A 26,002-nucleotide genomic window follows, 5' to 3' on the forward strand; every position below is an offset into this window, starting at 1 on the left:
ACCCCTGTATTTTGCTTGGCTCTCTAGATTGATTCAGCTCCAAGTAAGGTCAGAATATTCTCCCATGATCTAGACCTTCAGGTTCCCCAGTGAGAGTGTGTGTTCAGGGACGGATGATCCCTCTTTCCCACTTCCACACTTTGGGCACTCACAGTATTTGGGGTGTCCCCTGGGTCCTGCAGGAGCAATCTGCTTCCTTCAGAGCGCTGTGGGTTCTCTTGGCTTTCCTGATTTATTCCTGCAATCGTTCTGGAGCAAAAGTTCATGATGCGAACCTCCATACACTGCTCTGTCTGTCCAAGTGGGAGCTGCAGTCTAGTCCTGCTTCCCATCTGCCGTGATCCTCCCAGACCTCTTCTATTATTGGTGAAAAAACTGAGGCTCAGAGAGGCCAGGGAACTTGCCCAAAGTCACAGAGCCAATCAGCAGAGAGCCAAGTCTATTCTCCAGACTTCTTGACACAAAATTCAAGGTCTGCATGACAGACGTTAACATAATATCAGTTTGCTGGAGGAACAGAAATAGATTCAGTTCTTCTAGCAAAAACCAAGGATTCAAATACATGAACCACAGAGAATATAGTTCTATTATTTTCAACCATTTTCATTTTTTCTTTCTAGGAAAGTAATACACATTCATTGTAGGAAATTGGAATTAATAAAACATAAAGAAGACAAAAATCAACTGTAATTAAAGAGATAAGTGCTATAAACAGTGTGTGTGCATGTATGTATAGATACATGGGTATAGGGAGAATAGATAGAATTTACATATTTTATATACATATATACATACATATGTAGAATATATTTAAAAATAATTTAATATATGGATTATATAATGCACAGAATTTATATCCTGTTTTTTCCTTAATATTTTTGTATGCATGTATGGGGTACAAAGGTAATTTAGTTACATGTATAGATTGCATAGTGGTGGAGTCAGAGTTTTTAGTGTATCCCTTGCTAGAACAACGCACATTATACCCGTTAAGTAATTTATCATCATCCACCCACCTTCTGTCCCCCACCACCTTCCTAGTCTCCAGTGTCTATCATTCCACAGTCTGCATCCATGTGTACATGTTATTTAGCTCCCACTTATAACTGAGAACATGTGGCATTTGTCTTCATGCGTCTGAGTTGTTTTGCTTAACATTTCTTTAGTGATCAAAATATCCATTTAATTATTTATTAGTATTTCATAAGAATCTATTTTTTAAATTTCCTTACTGTTTCACATTTGTTTCCAATGTTTTGCTCTTGTGAATAAGGTAGGAGGGTAAGATTTGAAGTTTCAATGACATATAGGAAAGGTGAATTATTAAGCAGGCCAGGGTGGAGTACCTAAGAAGGATCTCTGGGAAGTCAGGGAACTAAAGGGCTGGATCCTGTGGAGCTTATAAAATGGGGAGGGGAAATATTCTTGGGGGGTGTGAAAGTCCCCAAGAAAAACACCATTCACAAATTTTCCCAGGCATGGTTCAGTGTATGAACATGACAATTCCAGAAAGAACACAGAAGGTCATCCAAGGCCCACATATCTACTCTTCTCCCTGTGTCTCATGACTCTCAGAGAGAAACTGCTTTTCAAGAAGACTTTAGTCAAATATAATAAATCTGTACAAAGATTCATACATCTTAGGAAAACTCAATAAAGACAGATCTTCGGAAGAATTCTTGAAAGAAAATATATCTTGTTTCTAAATATTATTAATCAGTGCCTACTGTTTCATCGGAACAAAGCCTTTTTTCTAGTTAAATGCAAAAGAATTATCTCGGATAATGATGGATGACCTATTTACATCATATGAAAATGAGAGTAGATTGTCTCTAACCTAAAAGGCTATGTTTAGGCTGCTCAGCTAAAATGTTCCCTAGTTATAAAATATTTATAGAGTAATTTTCCTATGTTTTGCCCTTTCAACAAGTTTGCAATTGTAAGGGTAGTGTTTGAGTGGAAATTATATTTGTATTTAACTAGTTCAACTATTTCCCCAAGTAAATAGCAATCTTTTCTCAGTGGGCCCTTATTCAACATAATTTTTATTTTTTCTTCCATCTAAATTTTAGAAAGGATTTCAACAATTGTCTTAAGTGATAAATCTTCTTTTTAAATTATCACTTGGACCTTGAAATGGCCACTTCAATTATCATATTTGCCTTTTAAACCCTTTCCTTGTTTACAACATTTCTGAAAGATGTCTCATTTTAGATTTTGGATTTAAAAGATTTGTTTAACAAGAGAATTCACAAAGATTCAGTGATTCAGAGCTCCAGTGAAATAAGATAATGCTTCTTTTCTGAAAATGCAGGCATTCCAATGTCAAACCTGGGTTTAAGTGGAGGGACCGAATTTCCTGGGCAGTTGGTATTGACACTGGTCCTATACCTCTGATTGCAGAAGGTTCCATTTTGGAAATTTACCAGTGAAGATGCCATTGACCTCTAAAAGAATTTCAAGGACATTCTTTTCTAAGATTTTCACTGGTATTATTCTAGAAACAAACCTTCTGAGGCAGTATTTCTGAAACTGTGTTCTGTAGGTCACTATATCCCTGAGATGATAATAATTGTTTCCCAATTTATAATAAAATAAGGTTTTTGAAAATAGCTAAACAAATTTAAGTAGTTTGATATGCTAAAGTACATACTGTAAAGAGAGCTAAGGGAAGTGTTTTCCAAATTTATTTGACCATGAAGTCTTCCATCAAGGAAAAAGTATTATATCCCAATGAATAATTTGAAGCCACTGAAGCAGCTTCAAAGGCTTCAAAGGTAAATTACCCATTCTTCTATGTCCCACTCCACCCCACTAGGAGCTCTTCAGCTCTGTATCCATCATATATTCACATCAGCAGAGGCTCACCCACGTGCTGGACAGCCTTTTCTAGAGTGAAAGAGTGTTACTGTTCTGTTTTCTAATTTCCACAAAGGACAGGTAACTGCTCCTACAGGTTAATATGACTCTTCTTTGTTCCGTGGCACTATTTTATCTTATATATTTTCCCCAGCTGTTTTTTATCACATGCACACATATTTTTAGTTGAAATCAGTGGATTTTTTTTTTGTATAATTTGATCCCCTCTTCCATATTTTCAAATAGTAATGGCTTCTCCCAACAAGAACTGTGGCATACACTTTGTTTTCCATCAGGAGAAAGAGTAAAATTGAATGAATAGCCAGCTTCTTGCTGTGGCAGAGGTGGGGGAAAGAAGAAACCTACTCCATAACCAGGCATCTACTCCCACCCTCCTCCACCTCATAGTCCTAAATCTTTTCTCTGTCCCCTGAATTCAGAACGCAGGTCTGTTGATCACTGATGCCTTACCTAGCCTGGAGGAAGATTGGAAGTATGATCTGGAACCTCAATGGTAATGACTCTGTCCCTCTTTCCCTGGATCAAGGGCACCTGGAACCCAAATTAAAATGCAGAGAAAAGTAAATCTCCTATATAAACTATGTTTTTTAAATTTTCTTCCACTGATTCTTCTTTGACCTGTGTTGGTCAGTAATATGGCATCCAAGAGAGCACCACTTCCTGCAAGGTCGCTAAGCACCAGGCCCAAATCCAACTCCACAGGGTTCTAGGGTGGCCAACTACTGAAAAGTTTCCCAAGACTTTTAGTGCTAAAACTGGGAAAGTCCTGTACAAACTTGGATTGGTCTGCCTGTTCTCAGCCAAATAGCGTTTGGCAGTAGTCTTTCCAGTAAAAGCACAGAGTCAGAGTAGCAGAACCTCCTTTCCTGTGAATTCCTGCTTGAAAGCACTTGCCTCAAGCTGTCCTAGTAACCAGCTGGAGCCTAAGACTCAGTGACATGGTGAGGAGTCTGGCTCTTCCCCTTCCTGACTCCTCCCCTTCAGTACCTCCAAGCTCCCTGCTAAAGCTTCCTCTTTCCACCTCTAGGCCCCTCCAAGTCTTGGTCACAAACGTCCCACTTGGGTTTACTATTTCCTTCATTATGCCTTATTAGTATCTCATTATAATGAGGAGAGTCACCTAAAGACCTTATCTCCCTGCAGTCGTGACATAAGGCAGCACAGTCAGATGCTCCCTAGGGTGAGCTGATACATCCATCTTCTTACAGTAACTCCTGTGGGTCCTCTTTTCATCTAGTTATTGTTTGTGACCAATGTGGCCAATAGGTCCTCCTGGTCTGATACAGTTCCTTCCAGAAACATCTTGCTGTCTCACAGCTTCCTGAACCCACCCTTCCACATTTACACAGAGAAATACTTAGCTATGCTCTATGAACAGATGTTTACTGTGTAGAGAAAACACAATGCACATCTATATCAACTTCTCTCTATCCGTTTCTTTCTCTCTTGCTGTAGCAAGTCTCTCAGACGAGGGGCAGTAACAGAGACTTGAGTCAAGAGCAAGATTTCAATAGGACAAGTCACAGCTCTTCAGTAAACAAGAAAAACAATCTTAAAGGTTAATGAAAGTTGCTAGAGGGAAAATGGCTCAGATTCCCAAGACTGCTTCTCCTGTTTGGAGGTGAAAACATCAAAGGGACAAGAAAGATGAGTTTACATGAAAAGAACTGATATTCTGAACTTCTTCTTTCATGACAACTTGTGGCATGCTCTTTCAGCCATACAGAATAATATTACAAGCTGGCTAATGTTCAAGTGGTTTATGATTACATTGCTCTACTTGAAATAGTAAGATTTTATCTATGTTCTCAGCTTAATAACTCTTCGGTTAGTTGAAATATTTTCATTCCTGAAACTTGAAAAACCTGAGTTATTATGAAAGGTACGGGGAGGAAAAAAAGCTTAAGTTTGTACTTTGGAGAAATTGTTCCACATCTCTGATGGTTAATATTGTCAACTTCATTGGAATGAGGGATGCAAAGTATTGTTCCTGGGTGTGTCTGTGAGGGTGTTGCCAAAGGAGATTAACATTTGAGTCAGTGGACTAGGAGAGGCAGACCCACCCCCAATCTGGGTGGGCACCATCTAATCAGCTGCCAGTGCAGCTAGAATAAAAGCAGGCAGAATAACGTGGAAGGATTAGACTGGTTTAGTCTTCTGGCCTACATCTTTCTCCTGTGCTGGATGCTTCCTGCCCTCGAACATCAGACTGTAAGTTCTTCCGATTTTGGACTCTTGGATCTACACCAGGAATTTGCCAGGGGCTCTTGGGCCTTCTGTCTCAGACTGAAGGATACACTGTCAGTTTCCCTACTTTTGAGGTTTTGGGACTTGGACTGACCTCCTTGCTCCTCAGCGTGCAGACAGCCTCAGCGTGCAGACAGCCTCAGCGTGCAGACAGCCTATTGTAGGACTTTACCTTGTGATCATGTGAGTCAATATTCCTTAACAAACTCCCCTTTATATATACATATATCCTATTAGTCCTGTCCCTCTAGAAAACCCTAATACCCTTAAGCACCACAGGTTCATTAGCAATTAGAAATAATCTAAAATAATTTTGCTTTTTGCAAACAGAGAAGTTAATTTAAGTTTATCCCAGACTAGATTGATCATGTTTTATCAATATGTATTTTAAAACTATGATTATATATATATATTCTGTATATATACATGTATATATACACACATATATATATTCTGTATATATACATGTATATATACGCACATGTATATATACGTGTGTGTATGTATATATATATTATATATAGAGAGAGAGAGAGAAACATAAATTTGGTGTTGAGATCTAAACATGTTGCCAAGGCAAGGTAAAATTTTTATATTTTTTAATGTTCAAATCCCTTTCAAAAAGATATTAAAAACATTAAAAACTATTCTACATCAAGTGATTCAGTATCTATCTCACAAATAAAATACTACTAAGTCAGTGGTCTGTCTTACAACTTTGATTTGCTTATCCAAAGTTTTTTAAAATAATCATGTCATTTACTTATGTTTATACCTAAGAGCTAAAGAGTATGACCGATATATGTGGTAATAATACTCTTTTTTAAAAACATATCAGTTTGGATATTTCTATTGCAAGTAACAGACAATCCTATTCCAGCTGATTTATACAATAAAGGGATTATATATTGTTTTATAAAACTTGAAAGTCTAAAGTAATAAAGTTTTCAAGAAATGTTTGACTTAGTAGCTCAATAAAGTCACCCAGGATCCTGTATTATTTTCATCTTTTGCTCTGTCTCTCACATTTTGTGTCATCCTAAAACTGAAGTCATCCTAAAGCTGACAAAAGTTTGGTTTTGACCAAAATTGGATCAGGTAGACAGTATCTTTGCACTGTACTGTGTGAGCTTAGGTGAAGGGTGACGAGGATAATGTGAAACTATCTTTCCTACCCTCTTCAATGCAGCTTCTTATTTCTGTGCTGCACTCAGGTGCTATCATCTCTCACCTGGATCCCTTAGCTCTTGTGGAGGTATTTTCATGCATGGATAGTTGTTCAAATTAATGTTTTTGCAAGAGGGTGAGAGCTGGGAAGTCTTATTTTCTCATCTTGCTGACAGCACTCACTGGCATTTTCCTTTAAAAAGCAATTATCTTCATCTTAGTCATACTCGTATCCAATCTGATGAGGAAGATCTCCTGAGGGGTTAGAGGCCTAGAGAGGGGCAATATTTTCCCCTTTGGCCCACCCCTCCCACCAACTGTGGTAGCAGCTCCAGGTCCTTCCTACTGTGGGTGTGCCACCTGGAGAAATGTTAAAGAACAGAATCTTAGTGGATAATTGATTGGCTTCTTACAGCTTTTATCATTTGGTCAGTGCCATTATTGTATCTATTAAGTGTTATAATGTAAATATCTGTTGGTCTCTTTCTCTCAATTTGGATAAAATGAAAACTTCATTATTGAATAGTTTCATTACTTAAATATATAGTTTTGTTATTTATTACTTAAACTAGGCTAGTAAAAAATTATTCAATGGAATTCCTAGGGATTTTGTTGAGATATTTAAAATACATACATACATACACACCAGACAGATATCCATAAATCCATTTTTCTGACTTTCTTGAAAGTGGTTGAAGTTTTTCCTCATGAGTATCTGTAGTATCTTTCTTCAGTTTTGTGTATATCCTTAACATTATTATTGAGACTCTAGAGCTTTTCTTAAAAGGGTTGACAACACTATCAAAAACTTCAACCTAAACTCCATAAACTATCATAGATTCTATACAACCAATTTGAATTAAGTTTTTCTTTGTGTTATGAGCATAAAAAATTCATTGATTCAGTGTTACACACCCAATATTAGATTACAAATTTGCATTATTTTCAGACTTTACATTTGTGAACTGTAGTTGTGAATATTAAAAAGTAATTGGGAAACATGGTTTAGAGGTTTCATCGGAGGTGGTGGAGACATTTGGGTAGATAGTGTGCTTTCCCATGCCAGCTACATGCTCGCCCAGATCCCCTACCTCTCTCACAATTCCCATCCCAGATCCCCATCAGATTCACTCACTGCCACATTTTCCTCCACCTTCTGCATTTTCCAGCCCCACCAGATCTCCCTGACTCTACTGTGCTCCTTTGCTTTGGCTGAAGCCAGAATTATGACTGGACCCTCTCTGGGACTTAGTAATAGCAAATGAAGAGCGTACATGAACATAGGCATTGTTGCATTTAACAAAAATTGAGATGTAAGGCAGGGTCTCCCTGATAACATACAGGGAGAACAGTGTTTAATGAAAGTCTAAATGTTGGGAGGCTAGGGGAAATGAGACTATCTGCTTTGCCCCTTTCATGGTCTAAATTTCACTGTTTCTAACCAAGGGGAATTTCGGGCAGACATACTATGAAATCATTCCTTGAAGTATAACTTATTGGTTATCATGATTAAAGTAAACAACAGAACAAAAAGCACAATTAAGTTTAGCCCCAAACCACCTTAAGCAAAATGGTAACAAGTAGTTGGAGATTGGCTTGCATCAGAAACAATGATGTCTTATTAACTTGTACCAATTGTTCCGCCTGACCTATATTTGATATAGTAATGAAAGAGAGAGAGAAAAAGAAATTGAGAGAGAATTGTACTCTGTCTCCATGATACCACATCAAGAACTGCCTCTTTCTACATGTTTTGCTACCACCTGCAAGATGTTTGTGGAAGAACAGAGAGCCGAGCCACTTCTGTAGCAGAATGAGGGTGCAATGCCCACAGCTGCTGACATTTCCTTGAGTGGCGCCTGGTCACCCGCAGAGCCACTTTTGCTACACCCTCCCTTCCTAGTCCTTAAGTGGCTCCACAGAATAAATCATCTGAAACTCACGTTACCACCAGTGGAGGAGGGATGAGGACTGTAGTGACAATAAACGCGTAGGTATATCCTTGACATTATTATCAAGACTCTGGAGCTCTTTTGAAAGGATTTCACAGCAAATTCCAAAACCCAGAGTGTAAATGAATAGAAATGCTTTTGTCTTATAACCTTCATTTGTGTATAATTTACCTACAATAAACTGTATCTATTTTAAGCACATAGTTGGGCCGGGTTTGATAAATCCTCTATGCTCATGTATCCACCACTAGTTCAAGCTCTAGAACATCTCCATCAGCCCGAAAGGTCCTCTTATGCCCTTCCCTGTCAATGCCCACAGGATGATCTTTTAAGTCACATAACATTTATTTCTGCATTTTTATTTTCTACTCATTCATTCATTCATTCATTCATTCATTCTGAGACAGTTTCACTCTTGTTGCCCAGTCTGGGGTAAAATGGTGTAATCTTGGCTCACTGCAACCTCTGCCTCCTAGGTTCAAGCAATTCTCCTGCTTCAGCCTCCTGAGTAGCTGGGATTACAGGCATGCACCACCATGCCCAGCTAATTTTTGTATTTTTAGTAGAGACAGGATTTCACCGTGTTGGTCAGGCTGGTCCTGAACTCCTGACCTCAGGTGATCCACCCACCTTGGCCTCCCAAAGTGCTGGAATTACAGGTGTGAGCCACCACACCTGGCCTATTTCCGCATTTTTAAACCGGAGTACCACAAAAAAAAAAAGAACCTGTTTACCTGCCAGCAACTTTAGGTCTTCAATTCTTTGTGTAAAATCAGATAACACTTCTCGAAGTATAGGTTTAGCAGACTACTAATGAGAATCCGTTGCTACAGAGCTTCCAAACCTGGCTAACATCTGAAGTGCAGTATCCGCCCAAAAATCTGAGTCGAATAGGGGTGTTTTAACCTACTTGACATGTTCTGAAGTTAGAAAGGTCTCCTACCAAGGCTACATGGGTAAGAGGGCTAGAAGATAAAGGAAGTAAAAATAGTAAGAAAAAAAAGACTCTACTGAAAAAAAATCACATTCAACCATTTATGTGAAATTATATGCTTATATATGGAAATTGAATGTAACATTTAAAACATAAAAATAATTACAGCAACCTCCCAATTCTTACAAAAATTTTAGAGCTCTCCTGCTGAATAGCCTTCAAAACATTGCTCATTTTATGTCACATCAAATAATTTTCTCTTCCATCTTAAAAAATAAAAACAAACTAAAATCTAAAATGTATTATTGACTGATGAAAAGCAAGGCTGAGATTTGGAGGGAAAAGTGCTTTCTCAGTCTGAAGCTGATCATTCTCCTCTGAAAGTGCTTTCCTGCATGCTTCACAGATCAATCATAGACCAGACAAAACTTCCCCTGCGCTGCTTTCTAACAGATGCAGAGAGCTGGGCAAGTCAGTAATCAAATCGGAATTCCTGATTCTAAACATCTATCTCTATCGGCTAGAATCTGTGAAAGCATTCTGGAATTAGCAGAAATCTTCAGGCTGTTTACTTCAAGGCAGGCTGCAGTTAGAAAGTTCTTGTGATTTCTATCATGACTTAGCAAAACGTAAAAACTGGAGTACACCATTAGAAAATGAAAAGATGACTGAAGTTTTACACAAAAAGTGACAATGGTAAGGAAACTTGAATAAAAAAGTATAATTGTACAACAAAGGAAGAGTTGTCTTTTAGTCACTTTTTAAAATATAAAAAAAGTAATAAAAATACAATAAACTGTATATGACATTTTTTATCCCGAGTTTTCACTTAGCATTGTAATGTATACATTTTCCATATTATAAGTAATTATTAATAAATACTTTTTCATGGTTGTCATATTATAACTAAGTCCTACAAAAGTAATACTGTTCAGATTTCCTAAAATTATGCAAGTTCCACTTTTTGGTAATTTTAACACTGTGATGAACACATTGATATATGTCTTCTTCTCTACTTTGGGTTATTTCCCTAGGACATATTTTCAGACCTGTAATCACTGCATTTGGGTATGAAAATTTGTTTCTTGTTGCATAGTTTTAATTTGCTTTGCAAAAATATAATAATCTCTTTTAGAGCAATTTGGCAGTATCTATCAATATCCTCACAAATATTTCTACCCTTAGGTCTATGTATTAGTCCATTCTCATGCTGCTATGAAGACTGGTGATTTATAAAGAAAAGAGGTTTAATTGACTCACAGTTCCACAAGGCTGAGGAGGCCTCAGGAAACTTACAATCATGGCAGAAGGCACCTCTTGACAGGATGGCAGGAGGGAGAGTGAGAGCCGAGCAAAGGGGGAAAAGCTCCTTATAAAACCATCATCCCCATGATTCAGTTACCTCCCACTGGGTTCTCCCCACAACACGTGGGGATTATGGGAACTACAATTCAAGATGAGATTTGGGTGGGGACACAGCCAAACCATATCAGTCCACTATTTACTTAGAAAACAATAAGAAATATATGAAAAGATTTTGTTTACAATATTATTGGAGTACTATATCCACAAAAAAGACCACAATTCAAAGGCCCTGAAATAAAAAAAGCAGATAAACAAAATTATATTTTCCATAGAATGTACTTTATACAGCCAATAAAATCAGATTTTCAAAAATATGTAATAACAAGTGAGAAGTTAAAATATAGCCTATAATTAAGGTTAAGTGAAAAAGGTCAAGATATAAAATTATATATAATGTGATCTCAATTATATGTGTGTGTGTATATATGTATATATACACATATATATACATATGTATATACATACACATACATACATACACATACATACACATTCATAGAAATAGAAAGAAACACATAAAAATGTATACAGTGATTATTTCAAAAGGGATAATTACAGGTGTCCCTTCCTGTATACTTTGGAATATGTTTTTATATATTCAGAATACTAATCCTTTCTGTTATTTCTATGCTATACAACATTTACACTTTTATGTAAAATTATATATGTGTGAAAATTGAATATAACATTTAAAACATAAAAATAATTACAGAGGCACCCCAATTCTGGGAAATAATTTTTCAAAGTTGATTTTTTGTCTTTTTGTTTTGCACAGAGACTTTTCAAATTCATATGTATATTTTTTCATGTCACAAAAATGAAACTGCTTTGTAACTAATAGGTATTTCTTTGACAAAGTGCTGTGAAACTCCTCAGCAGTAATGTGGCCTCAGGGTCCCAAGTTTCCAAATAGTTTGAAGGGGTTAAAAAAACAGCAGTTTTAGACACAAGGAAGAAATATAACAGAATTTTCCACAAGGACTTAAGTTTTCATCATATATTACATTGTTGACTTGAGGTATTAAGTTTACCTTTACACCAAAGTAGAATCAGAGTTCATACATTTGCCCATGTTTGCATTTCATCAGCATCTTTTTAGGCTTTGTTGTAGCACATAAGTGCATCCACAGGACTCAAGGACTCAATAAACACTACTTGACAACTCAGCTCCCCATCACCTGCAGGATAGATTGCAAACTCTTTATCATGCCTACAAAGATACAAGGCCTTTCAGAGTCTTGCCTCTACTCAGTTGTACAGCCTCATCTCTGATTGTCAACGCTCTGGTCCTGCCACCCTGCACTACCTATTATGGGAATGGACATTCACTGAGCAGAAATGCTTTGTCCACTGCATGAGGCTAATTCTCACAGGGCCACAAAACTCCCCTCAGATGTCACAGTTTCCAAGAAGTCTTCTTCCCTCCCTCTTCCCTGCAGGCCTCTATGTGTTCCTTCTCTCCACTCCTGCAGCTACAGGACTTTCCTCTTCAATTGCACTCACCACACTGCATCTTAGCTATCTGTGTACTTATTGACCATTCCCTTCTAGAATGTTGGCAAGGGCAGAGATGTTTTTCTGTTTGGTATTGCTGTATTCTCAAGACCTAGAAAAGTGCATAGAAGATACCCAATAAATGTTTGAATACTTGTATGCCTGAATGAATGAGAGAATGAATGATTGGATGACTTCAGTGGGGAACTTGAGTATCTAAGCACAAGGTGCCTGGCAAAGGGCAGAAGTGGTGCCAAAAAGAAGGGGGCAGAAGAAGACAAGATATAGAGAGACCTAGTGATAAGGTGCTTGGTAAGATGGGAAGAGCATGGATTTGTCATATTTTGAGAAAGTTTCTCAGCTTGCACCTGTAAAATGGGATAATATATTCATTGGGTTGTTATGAGAATGGCTGAATTATAAATATATGAGTATACATGTAGAATGCCTTGCACATAGTAGGCATTCAGTAAAATGTTTGACTTGTTCCTATCTCCTTACTCTACAATATGGCCTAGGTGTTTCTATACCTATGAAAATCAATCACACATTTCTAGGGAAATAAATGCATTAGACAAATTATTTTTACTTTGATTTTTAAAAAGATAAGGCATGCTAGACAGCAACAATAATGAATGGAAGATGCCCAAACTCTTACCAGGTAAGTAATCATGGCCATAGGGAGATGTGGGTATGTAGCCTCTATTGAAATGGGCCTTTCTTCAGAAGAGAGGGTTCCTCGGGAGTAAGTTTTGTACAGAATAGAATCATATATATTTTAATGGCGGGACAAAAAGGTATTCCCAGAGCGCAGGAAAACTTTTCTCTTATGGCTTTCATTATTCTTTAAATTGATGAGACAAAACAGATACAATATTAACTTCTGTCCTAGAGCCATTTGCCTAAATGTGTAGATGTCTAGGGCCAAAAATACATCCATTGATTTTGGAATTAGAATCTATTTATACGCATTTTAAACAGATATTTCTGGTCACCTTGAAGTACAGGTGCTTGTGTCAGGCTGGAGAGTTGGGGACACCAGTCTTGCTACACAACAAAAATAGATCTTCATCATTAGAGCAGCAATCTAGGATGGCTGCCCACCACCAGCCTGGTCCTGGTAGGCTGATGTCTCAGGGATGCTGACTAAGCATTTTTCAGAGCCGACTGCTGGGTCCACAAGGGCTTGCTCAGAGCCTCTCTGGCAGAACAAGAAACTTCTCCACAGGAAAAAAGATTTTTGCAGCTAGATTAAATATTCCTACTGCCATATAGTATAGATCTACTACATATAGACCTACAACATATAGATTCTGTAAAGTAACAATGAGCACAGCTTTTATTGGCCCCACAAAGGCCTATGAGTCCTATACCTGGGGACAACATAATAAATAAACAGCCACAGGAGTGGTCATTGTCTTTGAATTGTTAGCTCACCTATCTGTGTACTGCATTTGCCATCACATGAGATTTCATCTGTTTTTTAGTCATTTTTTGTTTGTTTGTTTTACTCTGCACATGTGAATATGTGTGACAGACTGTGCCAAATTCTGTTAAAATATTTATTGAACACCTATAATGTGCCAGACACCACTTTAGGCATTGAGGCAGAGCAGTGAAATAAAGAGACAAAAATTTTTGCTCTTATGAAGCTTAGATTCTAGCGGGGTAAAGAATTAAAATGTATATTGACAGAGCAGGAGCATCACCATCTTTCACAAGCACTGCCATTTTAAAATTCCCCTTGATCAAAAACTGCCTAAATCCAATCCAAAGGGCATCAGCCTAATGGCTAATGTCAGCATAACCATAAACCACAAATGACATCTCCAACCAGAAACATTCCAACCCTAAAATGAACCCCTCCCTGACCAGAGATATGCCAGCCCCAAGATAACCTCTCCTATGACCAGAGAGATGTCAGCCCCCGGATAACCTCCCCTCCAACCAGAGACATTTCAACTCTGCAATAAACTTCTCCTCCACACTGAAACATTCCAAGCCTGTGATAAGTTCTCCCACCCTGAACTCTTAAATACTCTTAGTCGGTGAGAGCGCTCCTGACTGAAATTGGTCAGAAGTCCCTCTCAGGCTTATCCTCCAAAATAAACCTGTCTTTGACTGTTGAGTCACTCTTCATGTTTCTTTCCTCTTTCTTTAACTCTTACATATATTAGATAGGTAAAATACTCAGAGGGAAATAGTAACAGGAAGTATATGTGTCATATGAAAGGAAACAGTGGTTTTAGATAGCCGGGGAAGGGCTGTCTGAGAAAGTGATATTTGAGTAAAGTCGAGAAGCAAGAAAGGGGGTAAAGAGGAAAGATCTAGGGAAAGTGCATTTAAACAGAGGCAACAGCAAGGTCAACTGCCCTGAGGCAAGGGCCTGCCAGTGTACTCAAAGAATCATAAGGGGGCCACCATGGCTGGAGGAGAGTAAGCAAGGGAAAAAGTAGCAGGAGATGGCATCAGCAGCTACGGGAGGACCCTGTCTCGTCGCCTCAGAAGGTTTTGCAGATCTTAGAAAAGTTTTGCCCTTTACTCTGAGCGAGATGGAAAATCTTCAGTCTTAACTTTGACCTTATTGACTATTTTGTTGAAAATAATTTATGAGAGGGGGCAAGATTGGTTTTAGAAAGCCATTGCAATAAGAAATGCATTAGAAAGCCATTGCAATCTTCCAGGGGAGAAAGAATGATGCCTTGGGCTAGCATAATGGTGGCTTGGACTAGCAGAGGAAACAGCTAGAAACTTCCCAATTCTGAATATATTTTAAAGGTGGGGTAAACAAGTAGGATATGAGAGAAAGAGAGGGGTGAAGAAGGATTCCAAAGTTTGGGGCTTGAGCAGACTAGAAAAAGCCTATTGCCATTTACTGCAATGGAAAACACTATATAGGGAGCAGCTTTTAGGGGAAGGGGATTTGAGGGAACATCAGCTTATAGCCATTAGGTTAGGGGAGATCATCAAGGTAGCGAGTGCAGAAGTCCAAGGATTGAGCTCTAGGGCACGTCAACATTCAGAGGTAGAGGAGGGGTTTCCAAGGATGCGGGATTTTCAGGAAAGGTCTAGGCAACTGAGATGATGGATCAACCACTCAGAAGTCAGGGAGATGAGCGAGAAATCCATGCAAAGCAGTAGCAGAAAAGTGGGAGAGAAGTAAAGGAAGAGTATCAGGGAGAAGACAGCTGTCAACTCTGTCAAATGCTGATAAGGGGGCAAGTAAGATGAGGGCTGAGAATTAACCACTGGATTTACTGATAAACAGGTTAGAGGGGATCTTGACAAGAGCAGCATCAATGGAAGTTACAAGGGATAGATAGAAAGCCTCTACCTAGTGGCTCAGCATCAGGAGATTCTCTAGGAGTTCTTTAAGAAGTATTCCAAGCACCTCTTAATTAAAGGCATCGATTGTGCTGAGGTCACTGAGAAATGTAAGGAGAAATATAAATATTTAAAAAAAAAAAAAAAAAGCCCCTGTCCTCAAGAAACTTAATCTCTCCATGGGGGAGAAAGTGAGCCCACAGCTGACTCTAAATCAAAGCAGCCAGGGCTACATTATATGGTCAAACAGCGTCATCATCCTGTGCTTCTCACACTTCCTCAGACTTTCTTGACTAAACCAAACCCTGATTAAATCCATCTCTCTGCTTACTCCCGCCCGTATCTGTACTGCAGAACATGGCCGAGAAAACACTGGTTCAAGAGTGTCTTTGTCTACTTGGGTTACCCTAACAAAATATCAAACAGGCTGGCTCAAACAACAAAAATTAATTTTCTCACAGTTCTGGAGGCCTAGAAGTCCAAAATCAAAGCACTGGCAGATTTGTTTCCTGGTGAGGCCCTCTTCCTGGCTTGCAGACCCTGTGTCTTCACATGGCAGAGGGATAGCGATCTCTCTTTCTCCCTCCTTATTTTTATTATATTTTTGAGACAGGGTCTTGCTCTGTTGCCCAGGAGAGAGTGTAGTGGCACAATCATAGCTCACTGCAGCTTTGACCTCCCAGGCTCAAGCGATCCTCCCACCTCAGACTCAGCTGGGACTATAGGCACTCGCTGCCACCATGCCCGGCTAAATTTTAAATATTTTATAGAGATGAGGTCTCACTATGTTGTCCAGGCTGGTCTTGAACTCCTGGGCTCAAGTGATCCTCCTGCCTCAGCCTCCTAAAGTGCTAGGATTATAGGCATGAGGGTGAGCCATGATGCTCAGCCTCTTCCTCCTTCTCAGGCCACAATTCTGTCAGACTGGGACCCCACCCTATGATCTCATTTAAATGCGATTACCTCCAAAAGACCATATCTCCACATTGGGGGTTAGGGCTTCCACGTAAGAATCAGAGGGGGCAGGACACAATTCAGACCATAGCAAAGAGAGAAACTATGAAGAGAAAAATATAAACAGCATTTCAGGGAATGTTCTTGTGCAGAAAAGGAACAAATTGAGTGGTAGCTGGAAGGGGATATATTATAGGATCAAGAGAAAGTTGTTTATTTGTTTTAAGGTGAGTGGGAGAAATAAATGTATGTTTGCACGCCAATGAGAATGAGCCAATAAAGAGGGCAGAGGGGAAAATCCCTGGAGCAATGTCTTTGAATAGTTGAGAGGGAGTGAGATCTGAGGACCACTGGGGCATTGGCCCTGAAGAGGAGCACAGATGGTTCATCTGCTGAACAGGAGGAGGCAGAATATATGGACATGGGTGCACGTAGGTCACGGATAGATGTGGAGGTGGGGGTGGAGCTTGTCAAAATTTCCTTCCGATTATTTCTGTTTAATTGGGGAAGTAAAACGGAAAGGTCAGCAGGTGACAGGGTTGTTGATGGCAGTTTGAGGTCAGAGGAAAAGGCATGAGAGTCATCTAGGCAAGTAGGAGAGTGATGAACTAAGGAAATCTGATACTATAATTGCCAGGAAGCATTAAGGACCCACTTAAGGTTTGTGGTCATAAATTTTGAGACCAGTCAACATGGTTGCATGTTTTCTCCCAGCCATGTTCTGCTGCAAAAATACAGGCAGAGTGAGCAGACAGATGGATTTAGCCTGGGTTTGGTTTAGCCAAGAAAGTTTGAGGAAGCTTGAGAAGCACAGGATGATGGAAGTGTTTGACCATATAATGTAGCCCTGGCTGCCTTGATTTAGAGTCAGCTGTGGGCTCACCCCTCTCCCCTACAGAGAAATGAAGTTTCTTGAGAAAAGGAGACTTTCAACATTTTCTTAATGTTCCCAGAACAATCAATGCCTTAAATTAGGAGGTGCTGAGAATTGTTCTTCAATAAATGGTTCTAGAAATCTTAGAGAATTCCGTTGATGCTGAGTTAGTGGTAGAGGTTCCTAGAATGAGATTTGTGGTAATGGGAGACGGGCCAGATCCACTCACTAGGAGAGAAGCTGGGGCCGTTCAGAAATAGTGCATGGAAACTGGCCTCTGGCTCCTTTCACAGGCTGGATCTTTCACGGCTAAAGTACAAAGTCTTTCATTTATTCATTTAACAGCTATTGAGTCCCTGCTAAGAAACCCACCTAGAAAATTCAATAAAACAGACATGGTTAGACCTAAGAGAACATGAGCTAAGATTTATTGAGTGCTTACTGTGCTCTAGCCCATGTTTTAACAGCTTTACATATCTGATTAATTTCTATAATATTATATTGTTACAGAATCATTAATATTGTGCTATTATCATCATCCCATTCTATAGGTGGAAAGCAGGATTATATCATTTTGCAAGACTATCCAGCTGGTAAGCAGCAGAGAGGAGAGTTGAATTTGGTAGTCTGTTGCCAGAGAACATGTTTCTAACTATTTTACCACATGATCCATATTATCTCCCTCAAGACTAGAGAAATCAGTCACTCAGCTTGAGGGGAATGAAAATATACCCTGCCTCAAAAATACCCCATTAACTGAAATAGCAACCCTAGTCTCTCCACTGGGTTCAAACACAGAATGGAAGAGAATGGAAGTCAAAGCCCTACACTTGAGTGGAATTCGGTGTGATGCATCCGGGAGGAATGGTACACAAGACTAAGGGTCAGCAGGCCTGAGGTCTACTCAGTCAGAGTTTTACTAGTTTCTTCAGTGAGTCACTTGACTTCTCTCAACCTCCTTGTATTCTTATTTGTAAAATCAGGATATTCACACCTGTGCAGCCTCACCTGTAAGAATGATGAGGTGAAACATGAAGAACATCGCCTAAATATTAAGTGCTAAACACATTAGAGATTACTAGAAGGCCAGAGCAGATAAAATCAGAATAGCACAAGGAAAGGTGAGGAGCCCTAAGGGAGACCCAAAGGACACCCTAAGAGCTCTTGAGACAACAGGTAGGAGGTTAGGCAAAAGTAAGAAACAAATAAAAGAGAGTCGAGGAGGACACAGCCTGCCAATGACGACTGGCTGCTTTGGCCCATGACTAGTTAAGGCCGGTTCAACAGAGGACACCCAGGGTACTGGCTGTCAGTGGCCCAAATACAGTTATGTATTGCTTTACAAAGGTCAAACAATGGACAGATTCTGAGAACTCTGTCAAGTGATTTCATCATTGTGTGAATGTCATAGAGTGCACTTATACAAACCTGCATGGTATAGTCTACCAAACACCTAGGCTATATGGTATAGCCTATTGCTTCTAGGCTACAAACCTGTACAGCATGTGACTGTACCAAATACTGAAGGCAATTGCAACACAAAGGTAAGTATGTATGTATCTAAAGATAGAAAACGTAGAGTAAAAATATGGTATAAAAGATAAAAAATGACCTACCTGTGTAGGGCACATATCATGAATGGAGCTTGCAGGACTGGAAGTTGCTCTGGGTGAGTCAGTGTATGAGTGATGAGTGAGATGAGTGAATGTGAAGGCCTAGGACTTTACTGTACCCTACGGTAGGCTTTATAAACACTGTACACTTAGGCTATATTACATTTATTTAAAACCTTTGCTTTCTTTAATAATAAATTAACCTTAGCTTACTATAATTTTTTACTTAACATTTTAAGTTTTAACTCTCTTGTAATAACACATAGCTTAAAACACAAATACATTATAGAGCTGTACAAAAAATTTTTCATCCTTTATATCCTAGCTTTTTTCTATTTTTAAAATTTTATGTTTTCTAATTTTTAAACATTTTTGTTAAAAGCTAAGACACACACACATTAGCCTAGGCCTATACTGTCTTCCATTTCTTGTCCCAAAATATTTTGTTGAGAAATTTTGCATTTATGTGCATCACGCATACAACAAGCCAAATACAATGACATGCCAAAAAGATCATATGCCATGATCAAGTGGGATGTATCCTAGGGATGCATAGATGGTTCACCATATGCAAGTCAATACATGTAATACATCATATCAAAAGAATGCAGAAAAATATGACATGATCATCATAATGTATTCATAAAAAACTTTTGACAAAATTCAACATTGCTTCATAATAGAAACTCTCAACAAACTGGCATAGAAGGAACATACCTTCACACTCTAAAGACCACATATGACAAACTCACAGCTAACATTATATGCTATTGCCCCTGAAGATTTTCCAGTGGGACAAGAGATGGAAGACAGTAATACTGATGATATTGGCCCTGTGTAGGCCTAGGCTAATGTGTATGTTAGTCTTAGTTTTTAACAAAAGTGTTTAAAAATTAGAAAAAATGCAGTTAAGTTGAAAGCCGTTTTTCTAAGAATTGGAACAAGACAAGGATGCCCACTTCCACCACTCCTATTCAACATAATACTGAAAGCTTTAGCCACAGCAATTAGGCAAGAGAAAGAAATAAAGTGTATCCAAATTGGCAAAGAGGAAGTCAAATTGTTCCTCTTTGAGGATGACATGATTTTATATTTAGAAAAACCTAGACTCCACAAAAAAACTCTTAGACTTAATAAATAAATTCAGTAAATTTGCAGAATACAAAATCAACATACAAAAATCAGTAGCATTTCTATATATCAATAATGAACTAGCTGAAAAAGATATAAAATAGCTAACAAAAAAATCAAATGTCTAGGAATAAATTTAACCAGAAAGGTGAAAGACATCTACGCTGAAAACTATAAAACACTGATGAAAGAAATTGAAGAGGATACAAACAAATGAAAAGACAGTCAATGCTCATGGCTTGGAATAATTAATGTTCTTAAAACGACCACATTACCCAAAGCAATCTACAGATTCAATGCATTCTCTGTCAAATTACTAATAACATTCTTCACAGAAATAGAAAAAAAAAAAACTCCTAAAATTTGGAACCACAAAAGACCCTGAATAGCCAAAGCAATCCTGAGCAAAAAGAACAAAGCTGGGGACACTACAGTATCTGACTTCAAAATATACTACAAAGCTATAGTAGCTAAAATAACATGGTATTGGTATAAAAACAGACACATAAGCCAATGGAACAAAAATAAATTCACACATTTACAGCCAGCTGATTATTGACAAAGGTGCCAAGCACAATATAATGGTAAAAGGATACTCTCTTCAATAAATGGTGCTGGGAAAATGGAATATCCATATGCAGAAGAACAAAACTAGAACACTATCCATCACTATATTTAAAAATCTACTCAAAACAAGTTAAAGACTTAAATGTAAGACTTGAAAGTATAAAACTACTAGAAGAAAACATAGGGGAAACACTTCAGGACATTAGGCAAAGATTTTAAAGACTTCAAAAGCACAGGCAATGGAAACAAAAATAGACAAATAGGACTATATTTAACTCAAAAACTTCTTCACAGCAAAGAAAACTATCAAAGGGTAAAAAGACAACTATTAGAATGAGAAAATATATTGGCAAATTATTCATCTGACAAGGGATTAATATCCAGAACATATAAGGAACTCAAACAGCTCAACAGCAGCAAATCATCTGACTAAAAAGTAGGCAAAGCGCCGGGTGCAGTGGCTCATACCTGTAATCTCAATACTTTGGGAGGCCGAGGCAGGCAGATCACCCAAGGTCAAGAGTTCAAGACTAGCCTGGCCAATATGGTGAAACCCCATCTCTACCAAAAATACAAAAATTAGCCAGGCGTGGTGGCACACGCCTGTACTTCCAGCTACTAGGGAGGCTGAGGCAGGAGAATCACTTGAACGCAGGATGCAGAGGTTGCAGTGAACTGAGATCACACCACTGCACTCCAGCCTAGGCAACAGAATGAAACTCCATGCCAAAAAAAAAAAAAAAAAAAAAGACATTTCTCAAAAGAAGACATACAAATGGCCAAAAGAAATATGAAAAAATGCTCAAATGCTCAACATCACTAATCATAAGGGAAATACAAATTAAAACCACAATGAGATACCACCTCACCCCAGTTAGGATGCCTATTATCAAAAAGACAAAAGTTAACAAATGCTGGTGAGGATGCAGAGAAAAGAGAGCACTTATGCACTGTTGGTGGGCATGTGAATGAGTACAGTCAATATGGAAATCACTGTAGAGGCTTCTCAAAAAACTAAACATAGAACTAACATATGATCCAGCAGTCCCACTACTGGAAAGGAAATCAGTATATCAAAGGGACACCTAGATTCCCATGTTTGTTGCAGTGCTATTCACAATAGCTAAGATATGGTTTCAACCTAAATGTCCATCAATAGATGAATGGATAAAGAAAATGTGGTTTATATACCCAATGGAATACTATTTAGCTATACAAAGGAATGAAATCCTGTCATTTGCAGCAATGTGGATGAGGCTGGAGGACATTATGTTAAGCAAAATAAGCCAAAAACAGAAAGATAAATACTGCATGTTGTTACTTACATGTGGCAGAAAAAAAAAATTGAGTTCATGGAAATAAAGAATAGAAACGTGAGGCTGGGAAGGGTAAGGGGAGGAGAGAATGAGGAGAGTGTGTTAATGAAAACAAAATTACAGCTAGATAGGAGAAATGGATTCTGATGTTCTGCAGCACTGTAGGGTGAAAATGGTGAACTATAATTTACTGTATATTTTCAAAAAGCTGGAAGAGAGGATTTTGAATATTCACAACACAAAAAAATGATAAATGATTGAGGTGATGATATGCTAATTACCCTGATTTGGTTGTTACACATTGTATACGTGTATCTAAATATCACTCTGTAGCCCATAAATATGTACAGTTATGTGTCAACTAAAAATTTTAAAAAATGATAACAAGTATACTGTAGTAAATACATAAACCAGTAACATAGTTGTTTATGATCATTAGCAACTATTATGTACTGTACAGCATTGCATGTGCTATACCTTTATACAACTGGCAGTTCAGCAAGTTTGTTTACACCAGTATCACCACAAACACATGAGTAATGCATTGCACTGCAATGTTATGATGGCTACAACATCACTAGATAATAGGAATTTTTCCACTCCACTAAAATCTTATGGGACCACCATCATATATGCAGTTGGTCATTGACAGTGCCTCACTGTACACTCCTTGTGTGAGTTAAAAATAGGTGCCGCTTTCTCAAAACCCTTTACTTCCATGTCAGAAAATTATCCTGACTTTCTTTGGTAAAATGAGATATTTTCTTGATATATGCCTGAAAAATTACTGTAACAAATATGAAAATCTACAGTGTTACCATGAGTGCCCCAGAGGGTTGTGTAGTGCACAACACATAGCGTTTCTGTCTGATGACCTTCAACACTGACTATCCCCCATCACTGACCACCATGTCAGGATTATGTCTTTAGATCTATATTAAATATACTATAGTATAAGGCCACTTTAAAGATTGAAATTGAACATTTTTAATTTCTGTGCTTTTATTAGCCCTAGATTAGAAAAGATATATGAAGATTATTGACTTCTGAGAAGGATTTTACATATGCATTTTAGACAAGTGGGAAGCTATTTGAGTCCATCTTCTTCTGCTATAACAGAATACCATAGTCTGGGGCCTGGAATGGTGGCTCACACCAGTAATCCCAGCACTTTGGGAGGCTGAGATGGGTGGATCACTTGAGGTCAGGAGTTTGAGACCAGCCTGGCCAACATGGTGAAACTCCGTCTCCACTAAAAATACAAAAATTAGTCAGATATGGCAGTGCACACCTGTAGTCCCAGCTACTCAGGAGGCTAAGGCATGAGAATTGCTTGAACTTTGGAGGCAGAGGTTGCAGTGAGCCAAGATCGCACCACTGCACTCCAGGCTGGGCAACAGAGCAAGACTCTGTCTAAAAAAAGAATACCATAGTCTGGGCATTTATTTGGCTCATGGTTCCAGAGGCTGGGAAGTCCAAGATTGAGAGGATACATCTTTATATTACATCATAACATAGCAAGAAGGGAAATAAGAATGCAAGACAGAAAGAGATAAACTAAGCCAAACTCATCCTTTCTATCAGGAGCCCACTCCTATGATAACTAACTCATTCCCACAATAAGGGCTTTAATTCATTCATTAGGAGAGAGCCCTCATGACCTAATCACTTCTTAAAGCCTCCACTTCCTAATACTATTAGAATGGCAATAGGCCAGGCACGGTGGCTCACGCCTGTAATCCCAGCACTTTGGGAGGCCGAGGTGGGCAGATCACGAGGTCAGGAAATCGAGACCATCCTGGCTAACACGATGAAACCCTGTCTCTACTAAAAATACAAAAAATTAGCCGAGTGTGGTGGTGGGCACCTGTAGTCCCAGCTATTTGGGAGGCTGAGGCAGGAGAATGGCATGAATCTGGGAGGCCAAGCTTACAGTGAGCCAAGATCGCACTATTGCACTCCAGCCTGGGTGACAGTGCAAGACTACAACTCAAAAAAAAAAAAAAAAGAATGGCAATTACATTTCAACATGAGTTTTGGTGGAGAGATTCAAACCAGAGCAGACATTAATAATATACATATATATTATGTGCATTGTTATGTTAAAATTGAATAGCCATTTATGTTTAGAGAACAAACCTACCAAAATTGTCCATTTTAGTAGGGCCCATTTTTCTAACCAAATACCATGGATTAAAAGCTGAATTTAAGAAGAGAAAGAATCTTAAAAAGTTGTTAAGCAAGGTTAAATCTAGTTTTTCTTTCTCACACAGACTCTGCTTGTGACTGTTTCTTGGATAATTGGCACCTTGTGAAATAATCGCTAATAATAGTTATCTTTTAGTGGATTCCTGGCACCGCCCTCAGCTGAGCGCTGTAAGTATATTATTACATTTAATCCTCTCAACCATCTTATGGGATCGATATTATTAGCTCATTTCACAGAGGAGAAAGTTGAGGCTTAAAGAGGTGATGTAATTTTGTCCAAACTAAACAGCTGGTAGGTTGAGGAGTCAGGGTTCCAATCCACTCTCTCAGAATCTGTAGCCACCTGCTCTTAGTCACTGCTGTGTGTCAGTCTCCCTTGGCACTAGATACAATGGTGATTAGGGTAGCATAATGAGCCTTTTGGACTGCTTGCAAACCATGAACTACTGCATCTTTGAGTTTTAAGGGCTTAGCTTAGGACTAGGGGATATGCATGGAAGCCCAAATCATAGGTGTCCTTTATCTGTGGGATCAAAGTTTGTCACTCAGCATCCTGAACATTGTGTGCCTTTAAACAAGGCAAATCTGATACCATAATTTGGACAACAACTTAGCCAAAGCATCATTTCTGTATATGGAGGCCAAGTAGTACTAACAAACATGCAAATTCTAATTTTAAAACTCAGACAAACATTTTACAGCTAAAACAATCCACCCCCTTTTGGCTAAATAACTGAACAAAATTTCCCCTACAAAGGCAAAGTTCAATATTTTCATTTCTGTAAAACTCTGACCCATGTCACTTTTCATCAGTGCTGCACTATCTGTGAAGTCCCCTTCTAACCTAGAAGAGTTAGCTTCCTCCCTAACATACTTGGAGAAAGATTTGGGCATACCGCAGCATTTCATTTCCTCTTTGTCTAGCTTGATGATAACTCGTCACTTTTCAAACTGTGAAGATGAAATCAGGAGAAGAGTGTGAAATATCAGTATAACAATGGCCACTTCCCACCCCATGAGACAAAGAAGTGAAAGGCTTAGTGATTTGTATGATGATGAGCACTACAGAAAACATTCAAAGCTTCTAAATCCCAGGGATTTCCTGACTTCAGTTGTGAGGGCCAGCCACACTGACATCATAGATCCTTCCTGCAGTCACAATGCTACTAAGTCACCCTTGGGAAGAGGCCCCAGAAACAGGAAGACCTTAGTTAGGATGCAATTACAATTCCTTGGTACATTGGCTTCCTCAGAAAAAAGAAAAAAATCACAGAGATTGTTTTTCAAAAATATCAAATCTACAAAAAATAAAGCTGGAAAAGCAAGCATCATGAGTTCAGGTACTTATGGACTATTCGAGGTCTCTAAATTTCTCCTACTTCACTATCTTTCTTCTGTTTCTTATTACATATAAACAAAATAATGAATCCCAATGAAGACCCTCAGAAGGCTTGGGCACAACAGAGTAATAACTTAAACAAATGTACAAGAAAAAAAAACCCCATCAAAAAGTGGGCAAAGGATGTGAACAGACACTTCTCAAAAGAAGACATTTATGCAGCCAAAACATACGAGAAAAAGCTCATCATCACTTGTCATTACAGAAATGCAAATCAAAACTACAATGAGATACCATCTCATGCCAGTTAGAATAGTAACCATTAAAAAGTCAGGAAACAACAGATGCTGGGGAGGATGTGGAGAAATAGGAACGCTTTTATACTGTTGGTGGGAGTGTAAATTAGTTCAACCATGTGGAAGACAGTGAGGTGATTCCTCAAGGATCTAGAACTAGAAATACCATTTGATCCAGCAATCCCATTAATGGGTATATACCCAAAGGACTATAAATCATTCTACTATAAAGACACATGCACACGTATGTTTATTGCAGCACTGTTCACAATAGCAAAGACTTGGAACCAACCCAAATGCCCATCAATGATAGACTGGATAAAGAAAATGCCGCACATATA

General features: G+C 38.6%; 1 protein-coding gene and 1 long non-coding RNA gene across 7 annotated transcripts in view; one reads left to right on the forward strand and one right to left on the reverse strand.

Moving 5' to 3' along the window:
* Positions 1-229: 229 nt before the first annotated feature.
* LOC105379089 (uncharacterized) lies at positions 230-25,025 on the reverse strand. Of its 3 annotated transcripts, none has more exons than XR_948586.1 (3): positions 24,923-25,025; positions 3,331-3,411; positions 230-474 (listed from the first exon to the last, which is right to left on the reverse strand). It is a non-coding gene; the product is annotated as an uncharacterized LOC105379089 (long non-coding RNA). The 3 variants fall into 3 exon arrangements; XR_948587.2 differs by lacking the exon at positions 24,923-25,025 and adding an exon at positions 6,359-6,535; XR_001742812.1 differs by lacking the exons at positions 230-474; positions 3,331-3,411 and adding exons at positions 8,987-9,211; positions 11,577-11,723.
* Positions 25,026-25,218: 193 nt separating this feature from the next.
* Positions 25,219-26,002, forward strand: part of FAM81B (family with sequence similarity 81 member B) — a 59,076-nt gene continuing 58,292 nt past the window's right edge. For all 4 annotated transcript variants that reach the window (NM_152548.3, XM_011543207.2, XM_047416821.1 and 1 more), the window contains exon 1: positions 25,219-25,366. In NM_152548.3, coding sequence (NP_689761.2) covers positions 25,243-25,366 — 124 coding nt within the window. In that variant the 5' untranslated portion in view covers positions 25,219-25,242. The remainder of the gene's footprint in view (positions 25,367-26,002) is intronic.

This window comes from Homo sapiens, chromosome 5, assembly GCF_000001405.40.
Source record: "Homo sapiens chromosome 5, GRCh38.p14 Primary Assembly".
Lineage (NCBI taxonomy): Eukaryota > Metazoa > Chordata > Mammalia > Primates > Hominidae > Homo > Homo sapiens.